This window comes from Homo sapiens, chromosome 8 (genome assembly GCF_000001405.40).
Source record: "Homo sapiens chromosome 8, GRCh38.p14 Primary Assembly".
NCBI classification, from domain to species: domain Eukaryota; kingdom Metazoa; phylum Chordata; class Mammalia; order Primates; family Hominidae; genus Homo; species Homo sapiens.
In genome coordinates this window covers 125,040,317-125,052,484 of record NC_000008.11, presented here as the reverse complement: position 1 = coordinate 125,052,484, position 12,168 = coordinate 125,040,317, and the positions used below count along the sequence as shown (strand labels likewise).

Here is a 12,168-nt window from a genome sequence, read left to right as displayed (position 1 = left end):
TGTGTAAGGATGGATATTTATGTATATAAACGAATGGAGAAAGGTCTGGATGATCCATATGAAAACAGTTACTGTTGTTAACTTCAGGGGAAGGGAATAGAAATGTGAGGAAGGGGTGTGTGAAGATGGCTTTCTCTTAGCTGTGAACACTTCCACAGATTAGTGAGAATGCGGGAAGGATTAGAAGAGCCGCATGCGATCTTTAGATTCACGAAAGCATTGAACTCTTTTAGTAAATCTGTTCTTGTAAGGAATATTTCTTTGAAAGCTTCATGATACTTCTTTGATTCTGTACTCATTGACTATATCTTTATAATTTACCTTTTTATTGTATAATAAAGCACAGATGCTGAAAACTAAAGAAAGAATGATGTAGCCTATTAGGTTATTACAAGGTAAACACAAGTCATTCTGACTACCACTTAAGAAATAGGATTTAGTGAGCCCCACTCCTGAAAGCCCCCTCATGCACCCTGACCTCATCTCAGGCCTCCTGTGTATAGTTTTATTATCCAGTGAAACTATATGTCATTAATTTCCAGACTATAGCTTAGATTTGCCCATTTGAAAAACTATGTTATGTCTTTTAAGTCTTTTTTTTTGAGACAGAGTTTCACTCTTGTTGCCCAGGCTGGAGTACAATGGTGCAGGCTCACCGCAACCTCCTCCTCCCGAGTTCAAGCAGTTCTCCTGCCTCAGCCTCCTGAGTAACTGGGACAACAGGCATGTGCCACCACGCCCGACTAATTTTGTATTTTTAGTAGAGACGGGGTTTCTCCATGTTGGTCAGGTTGGTCTGGAACTCCTGACCTTGGGTGATCCGCCTGCCTCAGCTTTCCAAAGAGCTGGGATTACAGGCGTGAGTCACCACGCCCGGCCCTCCTTCCTTTCTTTCCCTTTAATTCATCTGTTGAAGAACATAGGGCCTTTCACCTTCAGTTGCTCCACAGTCTGGATTTCCCTGATTGAACGATCTTGACGTAGTTTAATGTGTTTCTCTGGCTTTTGTGTTTTTGTAACCCCCTTGCAGTTGTCTTATTTGAAATTTAAATACAATCAAAACTGGATGGAACCCATTAATTGCCTTTATGACCTTTTAAAATAATGGTTCTTTACAAATTAAAAGTAAAAGAAACAAGTCTCAGAGAATTCAAGGGAGTATGTAAAAATCATTTGATGTTTTATGGATCTGATAAGAGACTTTTTAAAGGAATAACAAAACCTTTTCATTATAGGAGAAATAATTAGCAAAGTAAGCTTGTAGAGTTAGATAGCAGATTTGCTTTCTTATTTTATCTCCCTAATTCCAAGAATGCTGAAAGAAAAGATAATTATTCAATTTACAGAGTGGCCCGACCTCAAATCTGAGTTTGCTCATGTGGATATAAGGTGCCTAGAAATAAAATCTAAAGGAAGAACATGCATCTGTAAATTCAGTCATAGGTCCTTCATCCTGCCCCTCCAAAAAGAGGGGCCATTAATGAGAATGTGAGGCCATTTAAAACTCCAAAAAGAGGGGCCATTAATTAGAATGTGAGGCCATTTAAAACTTTCCTTATTCACCGTCTTTGAAATGTCTTGTTGTAAAATTACCATCATGAACTTTGCTGAAATAAACAGAGTCCTAAAAAGGTGACAGGTTTAATAATTCCATCCAAGCTGTGCAAGATCACAGGGACAGGAAAGGAAAAAATTCAAATCATTTAGTGAGGAGGTAGGAAAATGCCCCACTGCAGATTCTGAAAGCCATCTTTCCTCTGGATTTCGTTAGGACTGAATTTTTCGTAACTATCATTTAATACTTTTGATTGGCACTTAGGTGGATCCAAAGCAGTTGCTGGAAGATGGAATAAGGAAAGAGCTTGTGAAGCGCGTTGCCTTTGCCCTGCATAGGGGACTGATATTCAACCCTCGAGCCAAGGTACCCAGTGACCAGAGTGGGCCTGTCCTCTTCTCCGCCCAGCTTGCAGCATGGACTAGAATGCCATTTTTAACCTATCGCGAACAAGACCTTACCTCCTAGCTAACGTATATCAAATATGTGATTTTCAACACAAACAACTGATGTGCTTTTTGATCTTATAATCCATTCATATTATAAATTTATAGTATAAATATGAAATTTAGATTTTATATTTAAAACTTCATATTTTTAAAACCAGTGCTTCTTTCCTCCACCTATTGATCCCATTTCAGAATTAAACTGATTTTATGATTCAGAAGTACTTCTTATAGTTAAAAGAATTTGGTAACCCTAAAGTAGATAGGAACTATAAAGGTTATAATTTTTTATTTTGCTTTATCTGCTAGGGAATATGGTCATTTTTCTCAGGAGAAAAATAATAGGCCTGAAATCTCTATTTAGGATCTTTATTATCATAGTAAATTCAATTTAAAATGTTTTAAGTATTCTGAGACTAGATAGATTTATTAAATGACAGAGAAATCACAGTCATTCTTTTTTTTTATTTCTTTATATGAGGCTTCCTTCCCAAATGAGTGAAATCATTTATTTGCTGAATGTCTGACATCAGTTGTCAGTCATCCTAGATGAAGTAGGAAATGAGTATTCCAAAACTTAAAGTATATCTTAAACTATGACTGTGGTCTCTTAGCTGCTGTACTATTGACTGATTGATTGATTGAGACAAAGTCTTGCTCTGTCTCCCAGGCTGGAGTGCAGTGGCACAATCTCGATTCACTGCAACCTCTGCCTCCTGGGTTCAAGCGATTCTTGTGCCTCAGCCTCCTAAGTAGCTGGGATTATAGGTGCCTGCCATCATATCCGGCTAATTTTTGTATTTTTGATGGGGTTTCATCACGTTGGCCAGGCTGGTCTTGAACTCCTGACCTCAAGTGATCCACCCATCTCAGCCTCCCAGAGTGCCGAGATTACAGGCATGAGCCTGGCTTATTTTTTATTTTTTTAAGATTAAGTCTTGCTCTGTCTCCCAGGCTGGAGTGCAGTGGCACAATCTCAGCTCACTGCAGCCTCCGCCTCCCAGGTTCAAGCAGTTCCCTGCCTCAGCCTCCCAAGTAGCTGGGATTACAGGTACACACCACACCTGGCTACTTTTTATATTTTTTTAGTAGAGTCAGGGTTTCGCAACGTTGGCCAGGCTGGTCTTGAACTCCTGACCTCAAGTGATCTTCCTGCCTAAGCCTCCCAAAGTGCTGGGGTTACAGGTGGGAGCCACCGCATCTGGCCTGCTATACTATTTAAAGTCTAGTTAGATATTAGAACGAATAGTTGACAATCTACTCCAGTGTAAGAGCTTTATGTTTCCCCTTTTCCACAGCCAAGTGAATTGATGCCCAAGCTGAAAGAGTTGGGAGCGACCATGGATGGATTCCATCGTTCTTTTGAATACATACAGGACTATGTCAACATTTATGGTCTGAAGATTTGGCAGGAAGAAGTATCTCGTATCATAAATTACAACGTGGAGCAAGAGTGTAATAACTTTCTAAGAACGAAGGTATCTAATAAATTTTAAAATTCTTGACTATATTTGTTATTTCTCATGTTTAGAGTACACATCCCAAACCTCAGAAATGTCAACAAGAAAGTTTACTAGATAGTCTCAGTACCTTCAGAGTACTTTCAGGAGCCAGGAGGGTTGCAGAAAAGTGGACATGGCATGTAACTTCCGGGAGCTCACTGTCCTAAGAAGGCAGACATCATTAAATGGCTACAGAATGAAGCTGTTTGTTGTAATTGTTATAACCCAAGTGATTAACAGTTCAAAAGACTTTTAGGACTCCTTTGTTTGTGTTCAGCAGGGTACATACTGAGGAGTGGAATTACTAGGACCTATAATGGGTAGTTCTATGCTTAACTTCTTGAGGAACTGCCAAACTGTGTTCCACGGTAACGGCACCATTTTATGTGCCCAACAGCAGTGTACGAGGGTTCCAGTTTCTCCACGTCCTAACCAATGCTTGTTATTTTCAATTTTTTAAAATTATAGTCACCCTAGTGCACATGAAGGTATCTCATCATGGTTTTGATTTGCATTTCTCTAATGCCAATGATGTTGAACAGCTTATTGGCCATTTGTATGTCTTCTTTGGAAAAATGTGCATAAAAGTCCTTTGCCTATTTCTTTAATTGGGTAAAAAAAGAATACCAAATGCATAAGTGCCAAAATTGAGAAGTTTGATTTTAGTAAGTAGTTAACAAGGAGCCACTCTGCAAGTTTTCATGTGGGAACTGACATGATTTGGGTGACATTTTCAAAAGTTTAAGTCTATTCCAGCCTTATGATATTTTGGATTTTTATATTACATGGATGCATGTCAACTCATAAGACAGAAAGCCGAAGTTCCCATGTCTCATCTTAGTTCTCGCTTCTCGTTTGTCACCTCACCTTTTCACAATGTTTCTTTGTTTTTTATAAATGTTATATGTGGTATTTCTGGGAGACTATTATTAATGCAGTTTTAGAAGTTTCCTCTTCAAAACCAAGAAACAGGCCAGGTACAGTAGCTCATGCCTGTAGTCCCAGCTACTTGGAGGCTCAGGTGGGAGGATTGCTTGAGCCCAGGAGGTTGAGGCTGCAACAAGCTGTGATCACACCACGGCACTCCAGCCTGGGCAACAGAGCAAGATCCTGTCTCTAAAATAAAAAACCAAGCCAGGCACAGTGACTCACACCTGTAATCCCAGTGCTTTGAAAGGCCGAGGCAGGTGGATCACCTGAGGTCAAGTGTTTGAGACCAGCCTGTCTCTACTAAAAACACAAAAATTAGCCAGACCTGGCACACGCCTATAATCCCAGCACTTTGGGAGGCCAAGGTGGGAGGATCACTTGAGATCAGGAGTTCGAGATCAGCCTAGCCAACATGGTGAAACCCCATCTCTACTAAAAATACAAAAATTAGCCGGGCATGGTGGCGGGTGCCTGTAATCCCAGCTACTCAGGAGGCTGAGGCAAAAGAATCGCTTGCACCCGGGTGGTGGAGGTTGCAGTGAGCCAAGATCATGCCACTGCACTCCAGCCTGGGGGACAGAGCGAGACTCCATCTAAAAAAAAAAAACAACCTTTATTGTCACTCTTTATGCAATATTATCTTTGTAAAATTATATGGAAAAGGGATAACTAGGTTATCTTATCAAAGGTTTACTAAATATTGATGGTTTTGTTTTCTAGATTCAAGATTGGCAAAGCATGTACCAGTCCACTCATATTCCAATACCCAAGTTTACCCCTGTGGATGAGTCTGTAACGTTTATTGGTCGACTCTGCAGAGAAATCCTGCGGATCACAGACCCAAAGTAGGTGTACCTGAATTCTACAGAGCCCTGAATACTGCAGGCAGTCTCATCTGCATCTGTGGCCCTGTGGCACAGCCCCTATTCCAGTCACGGGGGTCCTGCACTTGTCAACTCATATTCTGACCCTTTAGGGCAAGGGTCCCTAACCCCTGCGCTGCAGACTGATACCGGTCTGTCACTCGTGAGGAACCTGACCGCACAGCAAGAGGTGAGCGATGGGCAAGCAAGCATTACCACCTGAGCTCCACTTCCTGTCAGATCAGTGGCCTCCCAAAGTGCTAGATTCTCATAGGAGCGTGCTAGATTCTCCCAAAGTACTAGATTCTCATAGGAGCATTAGATTCTCATAGGAGCGTGAACTTTGCATGTGAGGGATCTAGGTTGTGCGCTCCTTAGAAGAATCTAATCTCTCCCCCGCCCCCCTGTCTCCACAAAACGATTCTTAGCTCAACACACAAGCACTTTTGATAGCAACAACTAATATTTATTGAACACTTATCTATGCACTCTTCTCAGCACATTATACACATCCAGTCATTAACCCATTTACAGCAATCTTATAGGCATTATTCTTATTCCCATTTTAAAGATGAAGTAACTGAAGCACAGAAAAGCTTAGTCATTTGCCCAGCATCACACAGTTAATAAATGACGGACCCAGAATACACTCCAGGCCCTCTGACTCCAGAGCCCAGCTCCTAGGCATTGTACTGTGAAAGGCAGACTGCATAGCTTTGTATACAGCCAATCACAGTCTACATACGGGTTATGTGGGCTCTACGTTCAGCAGTAACTGGGTGAAAATCTCATTTAATTAAAACTGCTCCTGAGAATATTTTAGGTGAGCACCACGGCAGAGACTAGCATGCTGCCTCTAGTAAGTCCAGCTGAGCCAGTTTTCCTCCTTTTTCTTCATTTGAGCCTCAGGAGAAGCTGTTGGTACTAAGATCAGCTTGGGGAAGAGCAGGTTCTCATGTCCACCCCTGGGCACAGGCTCACTGAGCAGAAGGGTTGGTGGAATTACCCAGGAAAAAAGCGATGATCTTTGTTCTCTGACCACCCAGGCACGTGTAGTTGATCTTGTGTGAGTTAAATCTTCTTAGGACCTGGATCCTTTGTGCTGTCTTCTTTCTAATCCAGTATTTTGTCCTTCGAAACTTGTGAAAGTTGAGAAACTATGCATAACCTTATTCCAAAATTTCTAGCAGAAATAAGGAATTTTGACTCATGGGACAAAAAAAGTAAGTGATTCAAAAAGTTGTATAGCTCCTTCTTTCTTGGTAGCCTTCAATCACCGAAGCCTTTTTAGAAAACTATCCACCCAGTGCCCTATTAGTGCAGGCAGAGAGGATTAAGTGTGACCAGAATTTCCACATCATATATGAATTTTATCATCAGAATTGGGGGCCTCCCCAGTGACACATCAGAGTGTACTTGGTGGCAGAAGGAGTCTTTGAAGCAAGCAGATGGAAGTTGTAAGCAGTTTGGGAATCCTCTTGTTTTGTTCTCCCTATTTACTTCCTGATTTAAAACCTCCCTTGCTTCTAGGCTCTTTCAACCCCTTCTCACGCCTCCTTCTGGTAAAGGTATGTGGTGGCTTTGGACAATAGGATATGTCATCTGTGGAGCTTGCTGAAAATGCAAAGGCCAGAGCTCTCCCCCAGAACTATTAAATCAGATTCGTCAGGAATGGAAGCTGGGCATCTGTATTTCAGACAAGCTCTACCAGGGACTCAGGGTCCCTCTCTCAGTGTTTGAAAACCATTGAAATGGTGGTTAAGGGTGGTGGTCAGACCTATGAGAGCCTCAATTATCTATAAAATGAGGATGAAATGGTTTGTATTCCACAGAGCTATTATGAGGATGAAATAGCACATGGAAAGGTCTTAGCACACACAGCACCTGGTGCACAATAAGTGCCCAGTAAATATGGTTGGTTGTTGTCACTGTCATCATCACACTTCTGAGTCTAAAAAGAATCATTTGGAGAGGACCAGAAGATGGCATCTACAAGTTTAAGGAACTGGGAGGAAAAAGCAAATTGCTTTGTCGTCATAGTCTCAAATGTTAGGTAGCATATGGAGATTCTAGGTTCCTTTTTTATCAAATGGAAATGACACAAGGCCTTGTTTTGTCTCCAAACTGGAAATTTAAAGGAAGGCTGCATAGAGAGACAAATGGGCTCTAAAGTCTTCCAGCCTGACAGCTGAACCTAACCTTGTCTTCTCAGCATGATTCCAAGTCAACACCCTAACTCAATGGAAATAAATGACTGAAACCAATGATATGGCATAGGGCAGGAAAAGGGGGTCAGACTGAATTTTACCTTCCTGTTCCATTGGGTGTCACTGGGAAGACGCATTGGGTGCCTGAATACAGAGGTTAGAAAACACAGATCATGTAACTCCTGTTCTTCATATTTGGTGCCGCATGTCCTGTTGAGTCCTAACATCTCTTTAAGGATGAATTCTGAGCCATTCTGGGGTTTTTGCATTGTTTTCATTTTAGAATGACATGTCACATAGACCAGCTGAACACTTGGTATGATATGAAAACTCATCAGGAAGTGACCAGCAGCCGCCTCTTCTCAGAAATCCAGACCACCTTGGGAACCTTTGGTCTAAATGGCTTAGACAGGCTTCTGTGCTTTATGATTGTAAAAGAGTTACAGGTGAGCCTTTTGACTTTCATGCCTGTTTTCTGCCACCCTGGGGGAGAGGCAAGAACATATTTTAGTGGGCAGTTTGAACTCACTTAACCTTTCTTCCATGATTTCTTACACTGACTTTAGGCATATGATACCTACTGGGTAGATCAGAGCTGGGAATAAACTAGAATTTGTTTGGCCAGCATAGTACTTTTAGGATTAGACTGTTTTTGTAAGTTTCAACTTGGGAAGATAAGACTTTTTAATCCTTGAAGCCAGTGACTTTTCCTAGCAAGGGATGTTTCTAACAGGAACCTGAAGTTGCTTCTTTTTGCTGTCATCCTGTTTAGAGGTTTTGTGTGACTTAGGCCCAGCCTCTGTTCTGCATAGCATTTTAGGTAACTGGAGAATTTGCTTGTTTAATTCATTATGTTTGGTTCTTTGACCGTGCCTTCTTGTTTTTAGAATTTCCTCAGTATGTTTCAGAAAATTATCCTGAGAGACAGAACTGTTCAGGACACTTTAAAAACCCTCATGAATGCTGTCAGTCCCCTAAAAAGTATTGTCGGTGAGTGTCCTGAAACTACCTGAGGCGGGGATGACACTGTAGCCTTTACGAATGTACTAAAGAGAAAATTATGTTTTAACTTTTCAGCAAATTCAAATAAAATTTATTTTTCCGCCATTGCCAAAACACAGAAGATTTGGACTGCGTATCTCGAGGCTATAATGAAGGTATGTTGTAGAAGAGAGGGTGTACAGTCAATACTTACATTTTTAAATTTTTTATTTTCTTGTAACTTTGTTGCCCAAAAAAAGCTACTCTTCTTTCTTTTGTCATTAAATCAAAAATATTTTAATACTTCAGTTTATCATTTTAAAATTCATTTTGTTTATCTCCGTTTCTGGATCTGTTCTTGATTAGGCTTTTTAGGAGCCTAGCGTTTTCCTTTTGTTCAAGAAAACTGGCTCTTTGTAAAATGCCTTTTGGCTAGAGGTGCTTTTATATATGAAAATTGAACTTTTCCTTGCACAGTAATACTCCCTTTTTACATAACAAAGTTCATTTATACACACCTCATCTGCTCCAAGCTGCTGTTAGAACAGAACATTGTCTCTCTGCCCTCTTGTGTCTGCATAGATGTTAGGAAGCCAGGTTCTTTGGGGCATAAATTATCCTTATACTCTGCAGAAAGCAGTCTTACTTTGGAAATGAATAAGAAAGACGAAGAGATTAATTTGCTGGATGGAAGTCTAACTTATTTTAGAATCCAGCTGCCTAGTTTCCTGCCTTTACTCGGCAGTAGGAGCTCCCAGGGACCCCTGCATCTTCTGCGAGTCTTCTTTCATCATCTGATAATCTGAGATCATCACAGCCCATTCTTGCACACCCATTATACCCAGGGCATTGTCAGTTGCTGTGAAAGACAGAGTTAAATGAAACATGACCGGTCTCCTTAGCTAACTCACAATCTAGCAGGGAAGAGTAGACTTCCTGGTAGAAAACTGGTTTGTGGTCAAAAATATCACATACTGTAGAAAAGTCTAGAATTCTAGAATGCTAAGGGAATTTTGAAAAGTTCCATTCTCTGATTCCCAATTATATAAGTTTCTCATTGAGACAGCACTCATTGGTATCTTAGCCAAATTCACAATATATTTCCCATAATTTTGGTGAGTGGTTGTTGTTGTTGTTGTTGTTTGGATCATTAAACAGAACAGGTAAGGCAAGGAGCCCATGGCTCTGCTAGATATCCTCTCGTGATGTGGGTCTGCCTTCCCCTAGCCTCATGATTGTCAGATATTAAGCGCTTCCCAGGCCAAGTTTCTAATTGCTGGAAAACCCTTTAGGAGGAATAAAGAATCACCCGAGTTTGGACAGGTGTGAGTCCCAACTCTGTAGGAGGCGTTAGGGGGATTACAGGGATTCTTCCAAGAAACTGGAAGGTTTTCCCCTTGCTTACTGGAGGGTTCTCAGTCCAGTAGCTATTCCAACTATTGGTTATAGTTGCCAGTAATTCAGTAACAGCCACGTGACTGTGACCGAGTCAGTGATCTTTAAATAAAGCCCCAAAGGACAAATTTGTCTTTTTGTCTTGAATTAGGGTGCGTACAGTCACGGAGCCAGTGTTAATAATCTGGAACAACAATGGAAATGTTCTGTGCTATTCGATGATGACAGCAGCTCCTAGCCCTGTGTAGCTATTGAGCTCATGAAATGTGGGTTGTGGGACAGTGAAATGCAATTTTTAATTTTATTTCATATTAATTTAAATATAAATAGCCACACATCGCTAGGAGCTGCTGTACTCAATAGTGCAACTCTAGAAAAATCTTGGAGAAAGAGTGATAAGCCAGATATCTCCAAAGAGGCAAATGAGTAGGTAGAATAAGTTTCTCATCCATCCCAGGCTCCTTAGCCTCTTCAGCAGCTTATTAAAGCTTGAAGTGCGTGAGTACCAAAAATAGAAAATGTCACTAACAAAGATTCATTGTGCAGTAAACGAGAGCAAGTTATATTAAACTGACTTTATTTCTATTTCCAGTTCTAGATTGATATTTTCAAGAGGATCCTTGACACAGAGTATACTACACATAGAAAATTAAGCAAAGAATTATATGGGCCAGATACAGGGTTTCAGGGACATTTTTATGTGGCCTGAAAGAACCTACTATTTTCTTGGATTTGCTGCATTCTAATTTTTAAATAATGCTACTCTATAAATTCAAACACTTCCTATTTATAAATAGCATTTTTGGATTGACGTTTTTCACATAAATAGAGTAATAGTCTTGTATGAATAGTGGTCAAAAATAATACATCTGAGGTCATTTAATACTTTTGACCATTACAAGCTCCATTTAGCTAAGTAACTTTTGCTCATTCTTAGAGAAGGCCACCCTCCTTTTCTTTTTTTTTTGAGACAGTCTCACTCTGTCGCCTGGGCTGGAGTGCAGTGGCACAATCTTGGCTCACTGCAACCTCTACCTCCTGGGTTCAAGTGTTTCTCATACCTCAGCCTTCCAAGTATCTGGGATTACAGGTGTCCACCACCATACCCAGCTAATTTTTTTATTTTTAGTAGAAACAGAGTTTTACCATTTTGGCCAGGCTTGGTCTCGAACTCCTAGCCTCAAGCGATCAGCCTGCCTCGGCCTCCCAAAGTGCTGGGATTGCAGGCGTGAGCCCCTGTCTTTTCCTTAACTCTTCTCTGCCCCCAGCAACTCAGAGGAAATGCATTTATTTCCACCTTATTGCTGCTTGCATTATAATACTGTCTTCCCTCCTCTCCCCACCTCCCTCACTCCCCTTTGCCAGTCTTTTAGGAATACTTTGTCCGAGTAGAAAAGAAGACATTTATAGGCAGAAAAAGTTAGAGTGTGCTGTTGACCTTATGATGCAGACAACATTATGAGGGCAAACTGAACTCTCAAGCCTGACCCAAAGATCGCTTCCTATCATCCAACCATTGCAGATAATCTCCAAGTATCATTTATGCTCATAGCTACTTTTAAAGTACTGTAGTTAATACACCATCCTAGCATAACTCTATATCACAGATTTGTTCTTTGAATGGTTAATTATATTTCATTACAACTGGCTTCCACTGTTACCCTCTATGTTTTATTTTGTACATTCAAAAACGTTATTCTGAAATGGTGTCCATAGGCTTCACCAGATTCCCAAAGGGGTCCAAGGCTATATTAGTCAATTCTCACATAATAAAGACATACTCAAGACTGGGTAATTTATAAAGGAAAGAGGTTCGATTGACTCACAGTTCAGCATGGCTGTGGAGGCCTCAGGAAACTTACAACCATGGTGGAAGTGGAAGCAAACATGTCCTTCTTCACATGGCAACAGGAAAGAGAAATATAATCAAAAGGAGAAAAGCCTCTTATAAAACCATCAGATCTCGTGAGAACTCATCCACTATTACGAGAACAGTATGGAGGTAACCACCCCCATAATTCAATTACCTCCCACTGGGTCCCTCCCATGACACATGGGGATTATGGGAACTACAATTCAAGATGAAATTTGGGTGGGGGCACAGCCAAACCATATCAGACACACAAAAAAAATTAAGAACCCTGGATTAAGGGGCTATCATTGTTAAAATTTTCGTGAAAGATTTTATGTAGATTATTTTGTAATCCAGATAATTATAGAACCTATAATCCTGAGTGGCATGGACAGACTTAATATTCACCCAATTTGAGAATACTAGTGTGAAATGGC

At 40.7% G+C, this 12,168-nt stretch overlaps 1 protein-coding gene and 1 long non-coding RNA gene across 6 annotated transcripts in view; one reads left to right on the top strand and one right to left on the bottom strand.

The window, feature by feature from the left end:
* WASHC5 (WASH complex subunit 5) overlaps window positions 1-12,168 on the top strand; it is a 67,533-nt gene that overhangs the window by 39,308 nt on the left and 16,057 nt on the right. For all 5 annotated transcript variants that reach the window (NM_001330609.2, NM_014846.4, XM_047422502.1 and 2 more), the window contains 6 exons: window positions 1,820-1,921; window positions 3,300-3,479; window positions 5,154-5,278; window positions 7,787-7,949; window positions 8,391-8,493; window positions 8,581-8,660. In NM_001330609.2, the coding sequence (NP_001317538.1) occupies window positions 1,820-1,921; window positions 3,300-3,479; window positions 5,154-5,278; window positions 7,787-7,949; window positions 8,391-8,493; window positions 8,581-8,660 (753 nt within the window). The remainder of the gene's footprint in view (window positions 1-1,819; window positions 1,922-3,299; window positions 3,480-5,153; window positions 5,279-7,786; window positions 7,950-8,390; window positions 8,494-8,580; window positions 8,661-12,168) is intronic.
* On the bottom strand, window positions 7,496-11,801 carry WASHC5-AS1 (WASHC5 antisense RNA 1). The gene is made up of 2 exons (NR_170219.1): window positions 11,706-11,801; window positions 7,496-7,986 (listed from the first exon to the last, which is right to left on the bottom strand). It is a non-coding gene; the product is annotated as a WASHC5 antisense RNA 1 (long non-coding RNA).